The following is a 23,096-nucleotide window of genomic DNA, read 5'->3' on the forward strand; positions in this document are numbered from 1 at the left end:
CATTGAGCTATTAACAGATTATAGGAAACAGCTGAAAAACTGGCCCTGAACTTACGACAGCCCACACAGCAATGAAACAGCACTGGCAAAATCAAAACATGGCTAATGGGCTAAGTTTTATTTGTTTCACTGGGTTTTTGATATTTCATTGTGTTTCGACATTCCAGATACCCTAAATCATCTCCCTCAAGTTCAAAGTCTCACAAATCTCTAGGGGAGGGGCAAAATGCCGCCAGTCTCTTTGCTAAAACATTGCAAGAGTCACCTTCACTCCAGTTCCCAACATGTTGCTCATCTCCGTCTGAGACCAGCTCAGCCTGGACTTCATTGTCCATACCACGATCAGCATTTGGTCAAAGCCATCCAATAAGTCTCTAGGAAGTTCCAAACTTTCCCACATCTTCCTGTCTTCTTCTGAGCCCTCCAAACTGTTCCAACCGCTGCCTGTTACCCAGTTCCAAAGTCACTTCCACATTTTTGGGTATCTGTGCAGCAGCACCCCACACTACTGGTACGGATTTATTGTATTAGTCTGTTCTCATGCTGCTAATAAAGACATACCCATGACTGGGTAATTTATAAAGGAAAGAGGTTTAATGAACTCGCAGTTCCATATGGCTGTGGAGGCCTCACGGTCATGGTGGAAGGTGAAAGCCAGGTCTTACATGGCAGCAGACAAGACAGAAAATGAGAACCAAGCAAAAGGGGCTGCCCTTATAAAACCATCAGATCTCATGAGACTTATTCACTATCATGAGAATAGTGTGGAGAAAACCGCCCCTGTGATTCAATTACCTCCCACCAGTTCCCTTCCACGGGAAGGGAATTATGGGAGCTACAATTCAAGATGAGATATGGGTGGGGACACAACCAAACCATATGTTGTTTGCTGAAGAAAACCAAAGTTAAGTATGGCACAAAGCTCTGAGTTAATCATTTGGGATTGTACTCAAGAGGAAAGCCATCTTACAGACAATGCTGACGAGCACTGACAAAGCGTCCAACATGAGGTGACTCCAGACTCGAGCCTTTAGCACTGCTGGGCTAAACCCGACATTGTCTTCCACTTTGGATTGTCAAGAGAGGATACGAGAATGGGTCATTATTTGTTGAAACAGAAGAAAAAAATCTTTACAAGTTACTTTTCTTAAATTATTCTGTCTCTGAAGAAAGTCAGATACCAAAGATAAATTGTATCTGATCCCAAAGTGCCTGATCTAACAGCAAATGTGAGTGACCATCATCAGTGAGCAGCTTGCTCTAGTCACAGATGGGTTTTAATTTCAAATGCCAGAATTTTGGTTGGTGCAATGCTACTTTTTCTTGCTGGAAGATTGGAACCAAATTCCTTCCAGCTTCCGGGAAGGTGGTGAGATTTAAAGCACTCTTCCTGGAGCTCTGCCACGGACAGGGCAGCTGCCAGTGGGGAGCATGCCCTGCCACCCAGCGCGCACCGCAGGCATCTCAGGAGCCCAGCCCCTCTCTGACCTCATCCTGCCGCCATCTCCACAAAACTCAGCCTCACAATCGCCCCCCGGCGCCCCAAAGCCTGCCTTCTGCAGGTTGTGTTTATGCCCCATTCAGAGCACGCACTTTCAGATCAGGCAGGTTTGGGTGAAAAACCCTGAGTTACGTGAATTTGGGCAAAGTATTTAACTTCAAGTTTCCGTTTTCTCATGTGGAAGATTAAGATACTATGGTCTGTCTTAATTTTGTCACAAAGATGAAATGATCTGTGAACATTTCTGTCATTCTCCCACACAAAACCCTCAGCAATGGTGTCGGTGGTGGTGGTGGTGAGCGCGGCGCTCCCCATGCCCACCCCAACCTTGGCCGTCTGATGTCCAGGTCCTCTTTCCTCTCTCCTGTCTGGTGAGCCACTGAGCCCTGTCAACTCCACCTGGGTCTGCGTCTGTGCCTTCACCCCTCAACTCTGAGTCTAATGGTGGCAACAGCCTCTAGCCTGAGCCCACTCCTGTCCACCGGACATGTCGGCATCCATGTCCTCGATAGACCAGGTTGGTTTCTTCCCATTTTAAAACTTTTTAACATCCCATCCCAGCCTACCTGACCAGCCTGAAATATCAGCTCCTTCAAAGCCCCCACCCCTCCAGGCACTGGAGATTCCCTTCTGCCCCCAACACGACTTTGACCATGAAGCCAGTGCTGTGATTCTCTTGTTCTTCCGGTTCCATTTGTTCCAGCCTGTCCTCGCCCATCAGACCCTGAGCTCTGAGGACAGGGGTCCTTCTGACCCTCACACATCGCGGGCTCCTCTGCGGTCAAGTTGCTGACCTCAAGTATCTGCAGACACCGTGGTAATCACGCTTAAGCTAGTAAACTGCACTACCGGGAAAGTCTTCAACGTAGCTTTTCTTGCTAAAATTTAAGTAACATTTTTCCTGTTCTATTGTAGAGAGGTATCTACAAAACTGTTCACAATTGATGAGAGACTACCATTAAATCATGACTTAGCTTATTTAGCTTTCTCTTCTCTGGGGTGGATAATCCCGATTATTTTATTTCCATGGATCAGCCCACCCATGGGTCGTGCCTTTGTCTTGCAGGTGTTGTCCTTATCCCAGCTATCTGGCCGGCCACAAGCAGGGTCAAAAGCGTCACAATTCTGACAACTGCTAAACAGATGACAATGACTTTGCCATGCAGATGCCAGCTAATTTAATCTGAGCTGCACTGCCCTTCTTGGAGGGGTTTGGGGGTGATACTTGCCTCATACTGAATTTCTTTGAAAACTTTATTACATCCACTCCGGCCATTTGGGTCTCCCTGTCTGTTCTGACGACCCGGCACACAGCCACTGCCTAAGGAGTGAACATTTATTAGGCGAATGGTGATGCTACAGTCAGCGCCCCAGAAGCCCCACCACAGGGTCCTGACTGGCACTGGCATGAACAGGTTTTCATTCTCTTCAGGAATGAGCGCAGGTGGCCCCATGCTCCCCCACCGCCTCCCTCCCCTCCCCAGCGAGGGCCAATGACCATCCAGAAAATATCGTTTCTCAAACCCAAGCTCTTTCACCCTCACCTCTGAACTTCTAGCTTGTGAGACTAAAACACAAAACAAAACAGCACCAACTCATCTCTGTAGAAAGTCCAGGCAGGCCGCGGTGGCTCACACCTGTAATCCCAATACTTTGGGAAGCCAAGGCGGGTGGATCACCTGAGGTCAAGAGTTCAAGACCAGCCTGGCAACATGGCAAAACCCCGTCTTTACTAAAAATACAAAAACTAGCCGGGCATGGTGGTGCATGCCTGTAATCCCAGCTACTCGGGAGGCTGAGGCAGGAGAATCGCTTGAAACCGAAAGGCAGAGGTTGCAGTGAGCCGAGATCAAGCCATTGCACTCCAGCGTGGGCGAAAGAGCGAAACTCTGTCTCAAAAAAAAGAAAAAAAAGAAAGTCCAGTGATTTTGATCACGCACTTTAAAAAGATTGCAAAGGGAACACAGGTAAACATCTTCAACCTAATTCAGTCTGAAGAAAATGATGGCCTTTGTTTTGGTTTCAAATTCATTCCATCCTCCCCAGAACACTTTTCTGGATGGGGCTGTGTTCACCCCTGTGTTTCTGTCTCAACTGTGTCTCCTATCAACAGTGAGCTTTCCTGTCCTTGGCCTTCTCTCCTGGAATTTGTATAAATGTCTCCTTGGTTTACGAGGCCCTCTCAATGTGGCACCATCATCCGTGGGAACCTCTCAACGTGGCACCGTCATTCATGGGGTCCAAGTGTGGCACGAGGTTGGCAATGCCCCATGAGATTTTTGTTTTGGGTGAAAATTAGAGTTTTATGTTGTGGCTCCTTTTAATTCAGTCAACAGGGTGCTGTTTTTCATTAATGAACTTTCACTTTGGGAAAACAAGAAGCCTTCCAAACTTTAAGGAGACTGGACATGGATGAAATGAAGAAGCAGAGGCAGGAGAACTTAAGAATGCTCAATGGAAAACCACGAGTACAAAGAAAAAGGAAAAAAACAAAAACAAAAAAAGAAAAAAGCCAGAATTCTTGTGATGTGTGCAGACGTGCCGAAGGAGAAATTTGAGCATTACATCCAAGGACAATGCCTCTCTAATCATGACCCTGAAATGGGAATCCATGCAGCCACCGTGTCCCACTGTGTCCCACTGCCCAGCTCTGTTCTTCCTGAGGGACACTCTGCAGGAAAACACAGTCCATGTCCAGGTGCCAGCTCACTCCCCGTTCCCACTCATCCCAGGTGCTCGTGCCATCGTGGGCATTGGCCTCTGCTGTAGATCTCGTCCAGGCCCCTGAAGGTGCCGCTGTCTGAAGCCATGTTCCTCTGCTGGCACCGGTGCCCACGGATTGACCAAGGCGCTCCAATAAATGTCAGCTCCGGCATGAACATTTTGATTAATGACACAAAAGCAAAGAGAGTGTGTCTGACTCCCAGCTCTGTAGAAAATTAACGTTGAAGCAGTAATTTACTCTTGCAGTCGGCAAGACATTCGAAGAGACTCAGATACCTACCAAGAGTGAATAATCCACACATGTGAACATGTATGTGAGCTGCCCGGGGAGCAGATAATCCTCATGTGTGAACATGTATGTGAGCAGCCTGGGGAGCAGATAATCCTCACGTGTTAACATGTATGTGAGCCTCCCAGAGAGCAGATAATCCTTATGTGTTAACATGTATGTGAGCCTCCCAGAGAGTGAATAATCTGCACATGTTACCATGTATGTGAGCTGCCCGGGGAGCAGATAATCCATATGTGTTAACATGTATGCCAGCCCCCCAGAGAGTGAATAATCTGCACGTTAACATGTATGTAAGCCACCTGGGGAGCAGATAATCCTCACGTGTTAACATGTATGCCAGCCACCCAGAGAGTGAATAATCCACCTGTGTTAACATGCATGGGAGCCACCTGGAGAGCAGATAATCTGCACATGTTAACATGCATGGGAGCCACCTGGAGAGCAGATAATCTGCACATGTTAACGTGCATGGGAGCCACCTGGAGAGCAGATAATCTGCACATGTTAACATATATGGGAGCCACCTGGACAGTAATGGAATTCAGACTTCTGTGCTCTGCCCTAAATACTCTGATTCTGTAGACATGGTGAGGGATCCAAGAAATTGTGCTTATTTACACTTATTTATTTATTTAGAGACAGAGTCTTGCTCTGTTGCCCAGGCTGGAGTGCAGTGGCATGAACACAGCTCACTGCAGCCTCCAACTCCTGGCCTCAGGTGATCCTCCTGCCTCAGCCTCCCAAAGCACTGGAATTACGAGAGTGAGCCACCACACCCGGCCAGAGAAACTGCATTTAAACAAATTTTGTTGGTGATCTGGATGCAGCTGGTGCTCAAAGCCCACTCTGAGAAGGCTGCAGCAGACCCCGAGCCCTGCCAGGACCACCTTTGCTTTCCTCATGACTCCAACCCCAGGATCAACCATGGCACCTTTGGTCTTAGATAATATGCACACTTTAAAAGAATGAGTGGGTGGGAGCAATGGATGAAGGAATGAATGAAAGTTTAAGAAAGGCAATGATACGCATAAGGACAGGTGCAGGGATCTAACTTTTAAGACACATCTACGATTCCTACTACCAGGCATTATGCTAAATCCTTCCTCACAGCAGCAGTGAGGGGTAGCAATTCCAATTGTCTCTTTAGAGATGACAGAAAGGCTCAAGGAAGTGAAAACCTCGCCCACCATTCACAGAAGTAGCTAGAGTCCGAGGAATGAAGTCGGGACTGGGTTTCTGTTACACCAACACCAAGGCAGGCTCTTTCTGCAGAAGAAAAGACCCCAAGAGTTAATGAGCTGCAACCTAAATGGGCCATTATCTTGAAGTCTAATGTAGAAAATATTCTCAATCAAGTTTGCCAATCAGCCTGGATAAATAATATATGCAGACCATATTTGGGGGGTTTTGTCTAAGGTTTTCTTAGAGTCTTCTCCTACAAATACTCTAGGTCCACAGCATTTGATTCAGATGGAAGGAAAAAATGATAATCTGTAAATAATGCTTTTGGTGTTGTGAAGACAGAACAGAGTGGTGAATGAAAATGAGATTAAGAAAGAGAAGAGTAGCATTCTGCAACAGCATCTAGTGCCATTTTGGCATTGCATACTTGAATTTCCAGCATTAAATTGCATCCTCTTAGAAGAATAGTTCAAGCCGCAGTAAAGGCACCTGATTAATGGAGCTTGAACAACTTCAAAAACCACTGAACAAGTTCTGACTATTTCTTATAAAGTTTCTTCTCTGCAGGCTGGGTAAACAGCACACTGTCTCTTTAACTGATTTATTTTATTTCTTTTCTTTTCTTTTTTTTTTTTAGTTTAAAGATTACATTTAATATCTATTTCCCAGCAGTGTACAAACTGACATCATCTACTCATAAAAGCGGAATGCTTTGCTTTTTTAAGCTTCAAGCTGAATAACAAATTGCCACAGATGACAGCATAAAAGAATAACAGAATGGAATCAAAAGAAAATTCATTGTCAACAGAAACCCCCTGCTGAGGAATTTCAATTTCATATATCTAATTATCCCTGTCAGTTGGAAGAACTGACAAAAAGCATTCTTTGTTCTCTCCTTCTGCCTCCCGCATCTCACTCTCAATTAATTCCGGCATACAAATATGACTAATTGTCTTTGCAGTGCTCAAGAGCGCTGTATATAAATGTTCACGAACTGAAAATGATTTGGAGGGTATTCATGCACCGATTTATGATATTTGAACACAATAGACATGCATAATTCAGGTGACCACGTTAGCACCCTCCCAAGCCCGCATTACAGAGATTAGGCAAGATTCCCTTTCACGTCCTTTTTTCATATCTGCTTTGTGACAATAACTCACTTTGCACCTATTAAAAGAGGGAGCATTATATGTCTGCGGCGGCTCATCGAAATTACCATGAACAAGATCATCAGCATTTAAATAACATGTGGGCAGTGAAGAGAAGGGGTTGGGGAGGGCGCATAAAAATATCGGGGACTTTTTAAAAGCACAGCAAGATCTCTCAGAAGGTTAAAGTTTGAGCTTTGATTTCAGGTTGTTGGTGTTTGGGAGATTTGCTTTGTTTTGTTTGTTTATTCTGGGTTTTTTCTCTTTCTTTTTTTCTTTTTCTTTTTCTTTTTTTTTTTTTTTTTTTGGCCCCTCAAGCTTGATCAATGTTGACAAAATGCATTTCAATTAATATAACTAATGATCTCCTTGTCTTCTTGTCATCAAAATAAGTAAAGATTTGTCTCAATTTAACTTCAGCAACTTGTCTTTACACTATTTGTAGCGGCATCTAAACAAAATGTAAATGGGATTCAACATACAATGAAGACGAAATAACATTTAAAAGGACAAAGGCTTTGCCACTAGAAAATAAACATTTTCTCTATATTTTAACAAAATGATTTTTATAGTTATAAAGTTCACTCTATAATTATAAAACTCTATTTTTATCATTATAAAGTATAATCTGGAAAACGAAAGTGAGAGGTCTGTCCGAATTATGGCATCCAAATGGTTTGTTAAAATAAATTTATGTCACTATGACATTTATTTAACTGTCACCAGATAAGCTGAATTGAATGCTTGACCTAAACATATATTTTACTATCATCTGTGCTTTTCGGTTGCGAAAAACTAAAAAATGAAGCTTGCGTTGGTCACGGCGGAGCAGCCTCTTTAAAGTTTAGAGAATGGAAGCTATTCACTAACAAGTAGACATTTTTTGGAGTCTAATCATATTGTCAAGGTTACTAATAAAAGGCCAATATGACATTCTAAAGGGCTTAGTATAAATTACCAAAAAAAAGTGCTTTTGAGCAGTGAAAGAGATTTTTTTGTAAATTGTGTCTCCTGAATATTTTTAGTGTGGGAACTTGAAGAAGCTCGCTTCCGGGGTTATTTTCTCAGAGAAAGCACAACTCAGGGTGCCTGATCTCTGCCGAGACGCACGCCAGCGGCTGCTCACCTGCCGGAGACAGCTCAGTGACCGCCCAGGGAACCGCTCTTCCGACACACGGGACCCGCCAGGCCACAGGGCGCTCCCCGGCCCTCACCCCTCCCCAGGCCCTGCTGAAGGCCCACGTTGGCCCCAAGGCTCTGGCCTGTCGTCTTCTCTTTGTGTCCTTTGCGCATTCACAGGAGCACTCAGGCAGCCTTCAACATCCAGGGAAAGGGGACACAATTAATTCGTTAAAAAGCACGTGGTGGCCGTGAAACGTGGCTTTCGTCACCGAGGCTTCAGCGCTTGCCCGCCGCTCAGACACTGCAGAGGCAGGACAGAGGCATGGCGGCTATGAGTGTGTGGTGTGTGTGTGAGTTGGGGGTGTGTAGTGTGTGTGGTGTGTGTGTGTTGGAGGTGTGTGCGGTGTGTGTGTTGGGGGTGTGGTGTGTGTGCTGTGTGTGTTGGGTGTGGGTGTTATGTCTGTGTGTTGGGGGTGTGGTATGTGTGTAGTGTGTCTACGGTGTGTGTGTTGGAGGTGTGGTGTATGTGTGGTGTGTGTATTGGGTGTGTGTGTAGTGTGTGTGTGGTGTGTGTTGGGGATGTGGTGTGTGTGTTGGGTGTGTGTGTAGTGTGTGTGTTGGGGATGTGGGGTGTGTGTGTAGTGTGTCTATAGTGTGTGTGTTGGGGAGGTGTGCTTTGTGGTATGTGTGTGGTATGTGGGGGCGTACGTATTATGTGTGTAGTGTGTGTGGTGTGTGTTGGGGATGTGGTGTGTGTGTTGGGTGTGTGTGTAGTGTGTGTGGTGTGTGGGGGTGTGTGTATTGGGTGTGTTTGTGAAGTGTGTGTGTGGTGCGTGTTGGGGATGTGGTGTGTGTGTTGGGTGTGTGTGTGCAGTGTGTGTGTGTGGTGTGTGTTGGAGATGTGGCACGTGTGTGTGTAGTGTGTCTATGGTGTGTGTGCTGGTGAGGTGTGCTGTGTGGTGTGTGTGGGTGTGTGTGTTGGGTGTGTGGTGTGTATGTGTGTGTGTATGTAGTGTGTGTGCTTAAGTAACTACAGAAGATCTTCTGAGATTCAATGAGAACTACTTTCCCCAGTTCACCACTGAATCCAAAAAGGCCGTCCCCACGAAGAAGAAATAGGTCCTGAATCTAGTGGTGAAACCCCGGGCTGAGGGCTGCTCCAGGCAGATCCAGACTGAAGCTGGGGCCAGCTGCCTGAATGCTCACCAGTTTTTGTATAACATCTGATAAAGTGTTCTCATGGTCGCCTCAAGCAAAGAGAGACATCTCCGACCTTCCGTGATAGCAAATGTCATGGTTAACGCTTTGGTCAAGTTGACTCGTCTTCAACATAATGACAAAAATTCATCAACTGCAGGAAAACGTTCTGATATTCCTTATCAACTGCCAAAACCAAACAGTAAAACAATAGTGTAAATTAAAGTTCAATCAAGAGAAAATAGGTTTGTTTGTTCTCAAAAGATATTTAAAGTTACCAGACTGAGTAGGGAGTTTGAGAGAGAGAATGAACATCTAATAAAGCATCACAGGAGAAGGGCTTTTCCAGGAGAGCCAGAGCTCAGGGGAGAGCTTGCACGGGGGGCGGGGGTAGCTGAGCATCTGTAGGATTCTGAGTCCATCGCATTCTGCCCTGAGCACGTCACCATCTGCCACCTCCACACCTGAGCTTGCTGACAGCACAGTGTCCACATGTCTCTGTGACCAGCCAGCCATGTGAGCTGGGCCACGAAGGACTCAGGGCCTCTTTCAGTCCTGTGGGCGAGGAACCAAAGCTCTGGCAAAGCCAGAAAACGCAAAGGGCAGCTAGACAGTGGCCATCAGGCGTGGGCGGGAGGGACCTCCCAGTGGACTGCTGCGGAGCAGAACAAGGGAGGCAGGCAGGCAGCCACTACTGCAGAGCCTGGGCCTCCCGGAGGGAGAGGGGGGATTTCCAAGGCTGAGAAACGAGAGGAGGCACAGAAGAAAGGCAGCCGGTGACGGGGACAGGATCTTCCTCGGCTTTGACAAGACCCAGGGCCCCTCGGGCCACGGGGACCCAGGATTGCTGGGAGACTCCAGCCGACACCAGCACCTGGCGTGGCCTCAGAAGCCTGGCAGGGCTGTGGGTGAAGGGAGCTGTTGAGGTCCCTCAGGAATTCTGCCTCCATTCACGTTCTCTGCTCATAATATTTCATCTACTGATATGCAGAGTTTCAAACTTCTGTTTTGCCTAGCTCCAGAGTTGCAGGGAAGGGGAAGCATGTGGAGGGCTTCTGTGATCTGCACGTAATCGCCTGGACAAAGTCAAGTGCTAAGTGTTTGGGTTAAAGTGTTTTCTAAAGACTACAAGCACTTTCAACTCTAAGCCCCTAGAAGGAAGGCAGACTCTTACAGGCAGAGGCTACAGAGCCTACGGCGCAAGGGTTAACTGATTGTAAAACGCAGGCACGTGGCTGGTTTTACCACATCCAAAAATACGATGATGATGCTGATTGGGTTGTGCCACAGATGACTGAACCAGGCCCAGCAATTGTATTTGCATAGAAACTGTAATTACTGGAAATTTCCTGCTCTCCTTGGTCCAACGACAGGGCGTGGTGAAGATGACACCAGTGTATCCCCCGGAAAAACGCTCAAGGATTTACAGAATCGTGGACCGTTTTCTTCTAAAGGGACTGAGGAGCTGGCTCTTGGGGTTCAGCTGTTTTCTTTACAGCCCAGAGAGGTGAGGGACCTGCCCAGGGGCACGCAGCCAGCGGCCAACTACAACTGGATCCCACGGTTCTCGACTTTTAGTAAAAGCCCCACAGTGGCATTCTGCCCCACTGTAGGCTGATGGCGGCTTTAAATCAAACTGCACCTATTTTCGAAGCCGGTAAACTCTCCACAGGCTTTGCACCATGACGTTTCCTCACTTTCTCTGCCAAGGTTTTACACAGGTGAGGTTGTGATGGAACGAGGGTTGCTGGACACCCTGGCACATATTGTGCTATGGCTGTGGCAAATCCTAGCAACGCAACCGGAAGCCAGAGAGAGCCCAGGCTGGTGCTGGAGAGGGGGATGGACCGGCCAGGGAGAGCCCAGGCTGGTGCTGGAGAGGGGGATGGACCGGCCAGGGAGAGCCCAGGCTGGTGCTGGAGAGGGGGATGGACCGGCCAGGGAGAGCCCAGGCTGGTGCTGGAGAGGGGGATGGACCGGCCAGGGAGAGCCCAGGCTGGTGCTGGAGAAGGGGATGGACCAGCCACTGTAATGAGAGTGGCTCCGTTCTGGAGTTTCTGCAACACACAAACTACAAAAATAAAAATGTGCTTTTTTAATAGGTTTTCAAATTTTTACGTTAAGATGACTGTAGATTCACAAGCAATTGTAAAAACTAGAAAAGAGAGATCCTGATAACACCTTCACCTGTTTTCTCCCAGTGATAACCTCCAGCATAACCGTGCAACAATATCACAGAGAGGAAATTAATATCAACAAAATCCACTGACCTTTATAAAGATTTCACCATTTTTACCTGCGCTCATGCCTGTGTGTGCAATTTTATCTCAGGGGTACGTTCATGTGACCACCAGCACAGTCAGTGCACAGCACGGCTCCTTCACCAGGATCCCTGAGCCGCCCTGTATGGCTTCGGCCACCTCCGTCCCAGTCCCCAACCCCTGGAAACCACTAATCTGTTTCCCATTTCTATAATTTTGTCATTTCAAAATACTATATGACGCCAAGCGTGGTGGCTCACGCCTGCAATCTCAGCACTTTGGGAGGTCGAGGCAGGCAGATCACCTGAGGTCAGGAGTTCGAGACCAGCCTGGCCAACATGGTGAAACCCCATCTCTACTAAAGATTTAAAAAGTAGCTAGGCGTGGTGGCACTCACCTGTAGCCCCAGCTACTCAGGAGGCTGAAGCAGGAGAATTGCTTGAATCCAGGAGGTAGAGGTTGCAGTGAGCCAAGATATCCCACCACTGCATTCCAGCCTGGGCAACAGAGCGAGACTCCATCTAAAAAAAAAAAAACAAAAAAAAAACATTGTATGAATTACATCATACATATGGAACTTTTGAGACTGACTTTTTCTACTCAGGACAAGCCCTTTGGGATCCAACCAAGTTGCAGCATGGACCAGTTGTTTTTGCCTTTTTATTCCTGGGTAGTATCCTGCTGGATCAGAGTTTAACCATTCACCTATTGGATGACATTTGAGTTGTTTGCAGTTTTTGCTATTAGACATAAAGCTGCTAGGAACATGCATGTCCAGGTTTTTATGTGACTATAATTTTTCTCTCTAGGATAAATGTCTAAGAATGCAATTGCGGGGTCCTATGATACAACATGTTTAGTTTTGTAAGAAACTAGCATTCTTTTCCTTTCCGCCTGCATATGGCATTGTATCTGAGGTGAGTTTCTTATAGACAGACTCTTGTTGGATCACGTTGTCTTCTTCTTTTGAATCTCCTCTGCCAGCCTCTGACTTTTAATTGTTCTGTTTAGACCATTTACATTTAAAGTAAGTATTAATCTATAGGAACTTATAACAGCCATTTTATCTGTTTTTGGTTTGCTTCTCTGTTTTCACATTTCTCTTTTTCTCATGTCTTGCTTTCCTGTGGGCTACCTGAACAATTTTCAGGCATTCACCTTGATTTATTTATAGTGTTTTTAGTATACCATTTTGAATCGCTTTGCTCTCTGCTGCTCGGTAGTACAATTTACATACATAACTTACCACAGCCTACTAGTATTAACATTTTACCACTTTGAGTGAAGTATTAAAGCCTGGCTTCCGTTCAGCCCCTTTCAATAGAATTGTGTTATTTTCCAATATGCACTGACGTCACATCACTTAGGGTTATCATTTTTGCTTCAACAATCAAGTATGCTTTAAGAAACTCATGAGGCTAATATGATATTTACCTTTATTTTCACCCATTCTGATCTTCTTTCCTCTCTGAAGCTCCAAGTCTTCTTCCGTTGTTATCTCCTCTCTGTTTGGAGAACTTCCTTTAGTGATTCCTTAAGGGTGGACTTTCTAGCAACAAATTGTCTTAGATTTTCTTCATCTGAGAGTGTCTTGATTCTCCTTCATGTCTGAAGGCTGTTGTTACTGGACATAGAATTCCTGGTTGACAGTTCTTTTTCTCGGACTTGAGCCACGCTGTGCTGCTTCCTCTCATCCTCCTGGTTTCGGGTCAGGAATCTTCTGACATTCGGGGCTGTGGCTTGTGGGTAGTGTCATTCCCTCTTTCTCTCTAGTTTTCAGAAGATTTCTAGTTTGCATAATTGTGATGTCTCTTGGTGTGGATTTCTTTGAGTTTATCCTACTTGGGGTTTGTTTAGCTTCTTGAATCTGTGATTTTGTCTTTTGCCAAACAACAATTTATTAATTCATCAAATACTTTTTCAGCCCATTCTCTCTCTTCTCTCCTTCTGGAAATCCAAGGACATAGATGGTAGCTTTTGTGTCGTTGCACTACAGGTCTCCACTGCGTTTAAATGTTGTCTGCCTGTGCTCCTTGCTGTCCGGTTGGGATAAAGGACACTCACCTGTCCTCGCTTAGGTCCACTGACCTTGTCCTCTGTCATCTCCACTCTACAACTAAGCCCATGCAGAAAGTTGGTTTTTTAATTATTATTATTTTGGTGATTCTATTTCTCAGTTCTATTATTTCCATTTGGTTCTTTTTATATGACATATTTCTTTGATGAGATTTTCTGCTTTTTCATTTGTATCAAAAGAATCTGTAACTCCTTACTGAAGCACTTTTATGAAGCTTTAAAATCCTTGTCTGATCATTTCAACCTCAGACTTATCTCAGTGTTGGGTTTCCTGATAGTCTTTTCTCATTCAAATCGTGACTTTCTGGTTCATGGCATGATAAGTGATTTTTGGTTGTATCATGGATATTCTCGATATTATAACATGACACTCAGTCCTATCAAGCTTTCTGTTTTTAGCAGGTGGTCAGCATATTGAGGTACAGCACAGGGCCCGGGTGGGGTTGTGTGTCTGTTTCCCACAGGGCTTCTCAGCACCTCCGAGCCTTGCTGTGGGTGAATAGGGAAGAAGTTCACTATCGGGTTTACTGCCCCGCCCCAGCAGAAGCAGGGTGCTGAACCCCACTGCTGGCTTGCTTTCAAGTGGAGGCATGAGCCCAACACCCTGGTGGGCCCTGCTGAGCCGGGACTTGGGAAATTATCCCTGTGCTCAGCCCCACAGATGCTGCCAGGCAGAACCAGAGCACTGCAGACACTTGCGCAGGAGGATGGGGAAGGACCTGTTGAAATCTCAAGGAGGAAAGAGGAGGTTCTGCCTTTCGGTTTGTGTGCAGTTTCCTGTTGCTAGACCACCCTGTATGCCACCCTTGATTTAGGGGAGCTGCCTTTTCTTGGAGATTTCTTGTCTGCACCTGTCAGTGGTTCTGGGCTAGCAGTCTCTCAGGGCCCTGTCCAGCCCCCAGGTGTGAGGGAGGCAATAGAGATGCCCAGGGAATTCACTGCCGCATCACTCCTCCAGTCCAAGGCCCTGGCCTGGCCACTCCACCTTCATCGCACTCCTCAGGGGTTCATGCTTGCCTGTGGTGTGACGGCCAGGATTGTTTACCTGTAAGAGGGAGGAAGTGGGGTGAATGGAACTTTTCCAACTTAGCCAAGAGAAGAACTTGTCCTTAACACTTTTAATCCATTACATAAAAATAGAAGGAAATAAAGAGATATTGTGATGAATTAAATTCAGTATAGACAAGAACCTCTCTATCTCAGCAATGTTGACCTCTGGAGATTAGAGATTCTTTGCTGTGGGGCTGCCCTGCACCATGGGGTGATGAGCAGAACCTGGGCCACCACCCACTAGATGCCAGGAGTGAACCCCTCCTGGTGGGACCACCAAAATGTCTCCAAGCATCACTAAAGTTTTCCAGGGGGTCAGTTCACTCTTTCTTGAGATCCCTGGGTCTAGAGCAATTGTAAATACTTTATCTACATCCAGGCTTACAAATACCTAGAGTATCTTATTGATTCTTTTTAGAAAAAATTAATGAATTATAGCAAGTTTCTCAATATTACTAAAATTGCGTGACAAAAATATATCTTGCCAAAGCACAATAGGTCAACGCGGTATCCAAAAGATGTTTTATTAATTTCAGTGATGTCACTAAAACTACCATTTTAATTCAAATGCATAAACTTTATGTCAAGAAACACATGAGGTGTGAGGATGCTGAGTTATGAATATATGAGAGTCTGGACACTGGTTTCAAGGAGTTTATCTGAATTTGCTCATGTACTCAAACTAGCATTCATTGATCACTTATTAGTTACACCTATCAAGTGCTGTCCTGGGGACAGAGATAACAGTGATCAAGACCAGGTCCTCCTTTTGTAGAGTTCACAGTACAGTGGGGACTCAGGCGGAGCACAGCTCAGTACCAGGGAAAGGGGTGTGCCCTGCCCCCAGGCGGTTAGGGAGGGCTTCCTGTAAGAAGTGGGACCCCAAATAGAAAGAGTTTACACAAGCAATTGTGGGGAAGAGAACCTGGATAAATGAAAACCAAATCAAATATGTAAACACAGAGGGCACTCAGTCAACATGCGATCACTAACAAATTTGATTGATTAACTCATGATCAGATGAACTTTCTTTGCAGAGGCCAGAGGAGAGCAGGGTGAGGAGGGAATGTGACCAGTCCAGGGTCTCACCTGCTACTGAAAACAGAAAATGCCAGATTATAATCTTCCATTCCTGGGCAATCAAAAAATGGCACGAAGGATCATAGGACACGAGTACCTCCCCTAAAAAGAAACAGAACAAACTGAGGAGTCCTAATTTCCCCCCATCTTCCCATTCCCAAAGTAAAAGGCAAGAGTCAGCCTAGACAGGATGCCGTCGGGGTGCGGGGTTTGGAGCTGAAGCAGACATTCTTTACAGAGAAAATACATGGTGCTAAAAGCCAGCAAAGTTGGTGTTCTTAGAAGTCTGAAATAAAATATCAGTGACACCGAATCCTAGTGGAAATTATGGAGTCAGTAGCAGGAAGTCAGGTAAGAGAAACAGGCCCAAGAATGTGGCACCAGAATGTGAGAAGGAAAGAAGCACTTGGAAGCTGGGCACAGTGGTTCACGCCTGTGGTCGCAGCAACTCGGGAGGCTAAGGCAGGCGGATCGCCTGAGCCCAGGAGGTCAAGGCTGCAGTGGGTGATGATTGCACCACTGCACTCCAGCCTGGGCAACGGAGCAAGACCCTGTCTCTAAAAAAATTATTTTTAATTAAAACTTATCTGAAAGAAGAAAGGGTTCAAAGCAATTGCCCTAACCCCCATGGGGAGTCTTAGCTGCCTTCAGAGGTGGCCAGCGCACCCTGGGCATCTTAACAAGTCAGGGGCACTGTGACTCCTCAGAGGTACAAGACCCTAAATGCCAAATGCTCTGCTGGACAGAGCTGCTCAACTGTGGCTCAAGAAAGATCCTCTGCCTCAACAATTTGAAGCATCAATCCTTCCAAGTTTACTTCTTTCCATTCTACCTGTCCTATTCTAGTGGGATGGAGCTGAGTTGCATAACTGATAAAATGTTCCATGTTGAGTGCCTCAGATCCTGGAAACTATCATGGTATGGACTGCAATTCATAAATGGAAGCCCTAATCCCCACTCTGATGGAGTTTGGAGATGGGCACATTGGGAGCTGATTAAATCACAAGGCAGGAGCACTTGCGAATGGGATCAGTGCCCTTATGAGAACAGACAGGAGGGTTCTTCCCACTGCCCACCCTTCACCACGTGAGACTCAGCAGGAAGATGGCAGCTGCACCCAGAAGAGGTCCTCCCCGGACTCCGGCCCTGCTGGCACCTGTGCTTGGCCTTCCAGCCTCCAGCTTTCCAGCCTCCAGTACTGTGAGAAAATAGACTTCCACTGTGTGAGCCACAGTCTATGGTATTTTGTTATGGCAACCCAAGCTGACTAACACATATCAATTGACAGAATCCCAGAAAATTAGAAAACTTTAAAACACTCTTTTTAAAAAATTCTCTCAAGGCTCTTGTAGAAACAAAACTTACATATTAAACCAATACTTAACTAAACAAGGATAGTATTTAAATACCCCTAATCTGTTGGAAAATGTTCAGGTTCTGAACCACCTTTACAGATGCAGGTTTTTTGGTCCTTTCTGAATGACACTGTAAGATTTGAGCCTTTTATTAGATCATATGACAAAAGTATGTGACCACTGGCCCCCGGGAATGGGAGAATGAGAAGGAGAGTTGCTTAGACTTCTTGTTCTACATTTCTGTAGGGTGTGTGATTCCCCCTGCAAAGGTGAACATACAGGGTGCCTTGGGTGCCTGCTCTCTGGCAGGGCAATTGAGTTCTGTGCCAGTATTTGTCCAGTAAGCATCCTCATTCACAAATCAATGGAGTGTCCTTGTATGCAAAAGGAACAGAGAAAGAGCTACCATCTCAAAGAACTATATCCACCTAAAGGCCATGGGAAATGTATGGTGGAACAAGTCAGAACCCAAGGCATACAAAACATGATGAGAATAACAATTGATACTAATTGAGCACTTACTGTATACCAGGCACTTGTCAACGTGTGTTCATGAATTATCTCAGTATTGCCACGCACTAATAGAATATTATTATTCTCATTTTACAGACAAAAAAAGCTAAGAAAAAATGTGAAGTCATTTTCCCAAGTTCACAGAAAAGTGGTTGGCAGAACAGGGACTTCTATCTAAAAAATGGACATTTGTACATTAATTGAAACACACAAATACATGTACAGCCACGGTAAGAAAATATAAAAAGAAAAGAAAACCAGAACTTCCCAGCAGCCAATAGCCAGGGGCGGACAGGCCTGAAGACAGATAGTGACTGCTGTAGACATGAGTTTGTGATAGGGTCCGCGACCCCAAGTGTGCTGCTGTCCATGGTCCTGGAGGATTGTCGCCTAACAGGGTGTGGCTGTTTCTCCTCATCCCGGGTAACTGGGGATCCTGTCCTGGCTCTCCAAGGAATGCTGAGCTATATACAAGAAGTTCCATGGTGAGAAAAGTGGGAAGCAGAGAGAGAAAATTCTGGAGTCACAAACACTGTCAGATTCCAAAGGAGAAAGCAAGAATTTGTTTTCAAATAACTCCATGTAATATTTATTTCAGATAATTGGAAAGAATATGGTTTTTCTTTTCAATGTACTCTCAAAAAGCAGTAATTCACCGAACACTATGACACCTATGTTCGTGTGGGTTTTCCGGCTTTTCACTTTAGGCCAAAAGCTCCCAAGTCCTGGTTTCTGCACCACATATTGCCTTTGATGCAGCAGCATCTTGGTAAATAAACAGCCAGAATGCCACGACATCAGATTCATGTAAATGGCTGGTTGCAGCCTCTCTGACTGCCCCATCTTCAGTCACTCATAAGGTAAACTTTCCTTGCCTGTGTCTTTGAAACTTAAATAGGCTTTGCAGTACCTTCCGGGCAGCTTGCTGTGCCCATGAGGGAACGGCCACTGAGGAGAGCAGACAGGGAGAGAGGGAGAGTGGCCCCAGACGGTCCACCACCCTGCGCCGGACATGGGGCAGATGTAAGGATAAAACTGTCAGCAGTGAAAACACAAAGAGAAATATTGCGATTTCCTATTATCCACATTGTTCCCAGGGGCTGTTTGCCCAGTTGCCATGGCACAGGCCCTGAGATTTCATAATTTTTCTCCTGCCGGCCATGTGCCCGTGCAACAATGTGAATTCAATCAGCCCAGACGGTTGGGTTTTGTCCATGTGAGTGGAATAAAACTTTTCTCACCAGCTAAACCCACAAAGTTTCTAAAAGCCATAAATAATGGGTAACTCCTATAACTTGCACCTGCCTGTTTTATTTGATCAAGGCTGCAAGGACTCAGAGGAACTGCAGAGCTCCCAAGTGCCGGCGGCTGCTCGTGGGTCAAGCTTCCCAGACACATTTTCAGTGGAAACGTTTATTTTGATAGGGAGGTATTCTTTCTGAAGGACTGAAATAATGCTGGTCCAAGTACTAATTTTAAATGGAACAGTCCTAACTAAAAACGATTCCTTCCACCAGGCAAAGAAAGGGGGAATAATGTGGGGAACCATCAGGACTGTCTGAGCATCAGAGGACGGAGGAGCAGGTTTAACCAGCAGATCGTGAGGGAGGACTATCTGAGCGTCAGAGGACAGAGGAGCAGGTTTAACCAGCAGATCATGAGGGAAGACTGTCTGAGTGTCAGAGGACGGAGGAGCAGGTTTAACCAGCAGATCATGAGGGAGGCCTGAGCATTGGAGGATGGAGGAGCAGGTTTAACCAGCAGATCATGAGGGAGGACTGTCTGAGCGTCAGAGGACAGAGGAGCAGGTTTCACCAGCAGATCATGAGGGAGGACTGTCTGAGCGTCAGAGGATGGAGGAGGTTTAACCAGCAGATCACTAGGAACAGAAAGTGAGCACGGAAACCCCACACATTGCTTTGGTTGTGGTGAAAGGCAGAAATGCGTAATACCAGCCAGGGGTGTGAATACGGAGGACCCAGAACTGGAATTATCTGTCACACCTAGAAAGATTATTTGAACTGTTTGAAATTATTTGGATCCTTTCAGAGAATAACTTGCCCTATTTAAAAATATCGTTACAATAAGATCAAGAGGAACTTTTTCTGAAAAGTAGTTATCTGACGTTTGCATATCATAAAAAGTATGTCATTAGTTTAAATTTACTGTGGAGAGAGATTTAGATATGCTTTTTTTGTCTCTATATTCTGATACAAAATTATTAAACTTCCAAGACTCTTAAAAATCTATGCACATTATGGTCAAATGATCACGAAATTCTTTATTGTGTTTTTAATGTATTAAATGACCTAAAATAATAATACTGGGAAAATGCTTCTTTGATACAAAACTAGAAAATAGGACTATAATAAATGTATTTGCTGGAAACCGTTTTTCAAATTAACAAATCTATTTTCTATGATATGCTGCCAAGAGTCATGTTGCTTCTCAGGGCCCACTGCAAAGGACAGGCCATTATTTAAGCCATTTCTTAATTCAGCAGGAATTAAAGAACAAGAAACCAGACAATGGAATATTTGCAGAATTGTTTTTTGAGGTCATGTATAATGCCCACTAATCTAAAGAGACTCCTATTTTGAAAAAAGTTGGCAAAGGCTAAAGATGGCTCAAATAACTTCAAGTATTTGAAGTAGTGAAAGAAAATATCGGAAGACAGTAGCTGAAAATGGCAGTGAATGCCGTGTGCACCTGTTATTTTGATCGTGACCCACGATTTCTCTACCGTGCCACCATTTCCACTGGCCAATCTCGTTCTGTTGCCCAGGCTAGAGTGCAGTGACACCATCTCGGCTCACTGCAACCTCCACCTCCCAAGTTCAAGTGATTCTCCTGCCTCAGCCTCCCAAGTAGCTGGGATTACAGGCACATGCCACCATGCCCAGCTAATTTTTGTATTTTTAGTAGAGACGGGGTTTCATCATGTTGGCCAGGCTAGTCTCAAACTCCTGACCTCAAGTTCCCTGCCCACCTCAGCCTCCCAAAGTGCTGGGATTACAAGCTTGAGCCACCACACCTGGCACCCCCACCCTTTCTGATATTCTTGTGACCAGTTCACCAAAGGAGATATTAATTTTTAAAATGCACTTGTTTTTCCGTTGAGATCCTGCCCAGTGAATGTTTTCATAATGAGAGAAATCCCTACACCACGTCTTTAGCCACCTGTGCATTGCGCTTTCAGGGTGGAGGCAGTGTGGAAGAAAAGAAACACCTCCCTCCGGGCCGGCTTTGAATCCGGATCAAATGTGGGCAAGTGGTCAAATAGCTCTGAGCAACAGTCAAAATGAAAACTGAAAATCTAGTTAAAACGTCTGAAACCACTTCCCCCTTGAATTCTGAGCTTCTGGCCCTCCACACCCAGAGGCCTCCACACACAGCAGGCCTGTGCCCTGAGCACGAAAAGCCACTCATCTGGGGAGGCCCAGGCAGGAGGAGCACTTGGACCCAGGTGTTTGAGACCAGCCTGGGCAACAGTGAGACCTTGTCTCTTAAAAAAAAAGAGAGAGAGAGAGAAAGAAAATAAAGGAAAAAAAAAGCCTCTCACCTGCTTTAGCGAGCTCTGCCTGTGCAGCTGGACTGCTTTTCTCTTTTTCTTCAGTTCTCTGGATGCTCCCTGCGCCTGATTTCTTTGATGTCTTGGATGATTCACTCAACACCTGAGACGATGAGGAATGAGGGGAGGTGTTTACAGCTGCCTGGATCTTAGGTGAGCCTGGACCTGCGACCTTACAAATGTGGTTCCCATGATGTCCGCTCTCACCTCCTGTAACACTGAACAAGGCGGGGAGTGGCGGGACTTCCTTCCGGCCCGCGCTGGCCCTCGAGTGCTCGTGCATTTGACCACGGTGGCTTTTGTCAGGACTCGCGAACGTGTGGGTCTGTCCGGGCCCAGTCTGGACCTCCAACTCCACTGGCCAGGGCACCCTTAGGTCTCCATCCCTGCTCCTCCCTCTGGGAACGGAGTGGCAGCTCTCAGGAATCAAGGTTACTGCATTTCTGAGGACCATGTGAGAGGAACAGGGATGCAAGACACGTTAAGGATGGGAACAGCAGAAGCTGAAGAGTGCCAGTGGAGTGAAGACGCCCGTGTCTGCACTAAACAGCTAGCAGGGAGAGGAATTAGAGAGTGTTGTCTCTCAAGGCAGAGCACCTATCTAAAAGGCAGACATTCCTCTCACCAGGTAGAGCAATGCCCATGACCGACACCATGGGTCTCCACTTCCCAAGCCCATGACCGACACCGCGGGTCTCCACCTCCTGAGCCCATGACCAACACCATGTGGGTCTCTGCCTCCCGAGCCCATGACCAACACCGCGGGTCTGCACCTCCCGGGCCCATGACCGACACCGCAGGTCTCCACCTCCAGAGCCCATGACCGACACCGCGGGTCTGCACCTCCAGAGCCCATGACTGACACCGTGGGTCTCCACCTCCCGAGCCCATGACTGACACCGTGGGTCTGCACCTCCAGAGCCCATGACCGACACCGTGGGTCTCCACCTCCCGAGCCTATGACTGACACCATGGGTCTCCACCTCCCAAGCCCATGACCGATACCCTGGGTCTCCACCTCCTGGGCCCATGACCGACACCGAGGGTCTGCACCTCCAGAGCCCATGACCGACGCTGCGGGTCTCCACCTCCCGAGCCCATGACCGACACCGCGGGTCTGCACCTCCCGAGCCTATGACTGACACAGTGGGTCTCCACCTCCCGAGCCCATGACCGACACCGCGGGTCTGCACCTCCCGAGCCTATGACTGACACCGTGGGTCTCCACCTCCCAGGCCCATGACCAACACCGTGGGTCTCTACCTCCTGAGCCCATGACTGACCCCGCAGTTCTCCACCTCCCAACCCATGTCCAGGACATACTGGGGGGGCGGGTGCATTGCATGTCCTCCTGCTGTTTGTGGGAGACCTCGGTCACAGCTTTTCATCAGCATGTTGACTGCCTGGGTGTCACAAAGGGTGACTTGGGGACGTGGCCCACATGCAGCGCACTCTGCCATGCCTCACTCCAGTGCCAGGTGCTGGCAGCACACAGAGCAGGCCCAGCAGGGTGGGCTGCGCTCAGTTCCAATGCATGGGCTGAGCTAAGGTGCAGCAGCACTGCCTCTTTTAGGTATTGACTATGATCACATTTAAAGGTCCCTATGCAGCAAAGCCTGCTGGGCTGGCCACCCCACCAAGGTTTTGGGGAGGGTGGGATCCTACCACAAGCCCCATTCTGTGGCAACCTCAGTAAATCAAACATGGGACCAGCGTGGCTGTGGTGTCCACGAGTCTGTCATGGTTGGATGAAGGTTCTCAGGGCAGCACTGCTGTCTGCACCGTGCACATGCGTCTCAGCCCCACAGACGCAAGAGGAGGCCCTGCTAAACTGGGGGTGCACTAACCACTCATTTTATTACATAAAGGAGTGTGAGGGCCTTTTGTCCGATGGGCTGTGACATGTTCCACCTTGCTTTTAAGCAAACATGTTCAAAGAGAAAAAGCACACTTTTCCCCTGGTGTGTGTTTTGGGGCGGGTGTGAATTTTAATTAAAGTGGATAGGCCATCAGGATCAAGT

The 23,096-nt window shown here is 46.6% G+C and overlaps 1 annotated feature.

Moving 5' to 3' along the window:
* Positions 5,863-7,310: an enhancer, noted in NCBI's record as "VISTA enhancer hs1011". NCBI's record gives its function as "enhancer in: forebrain[5/7]" and the evidence as "EXISTENCE:transgenic organism evidence [ECO:0001131][PMID:17130149]".

Source organism: Homo sapiens, chromosome 18, assembly GCF_000001405.40.
Source record: "Homo sapiens chromosome 18, GRCh38.p14 Primary Assembly".
In the NCBI taxonomy this organism is placed as follows: Eukaryota; Metazoa; Chordata; class Mammalia; order Primates; family Hominidae; genus Homo; species Homo sapiens.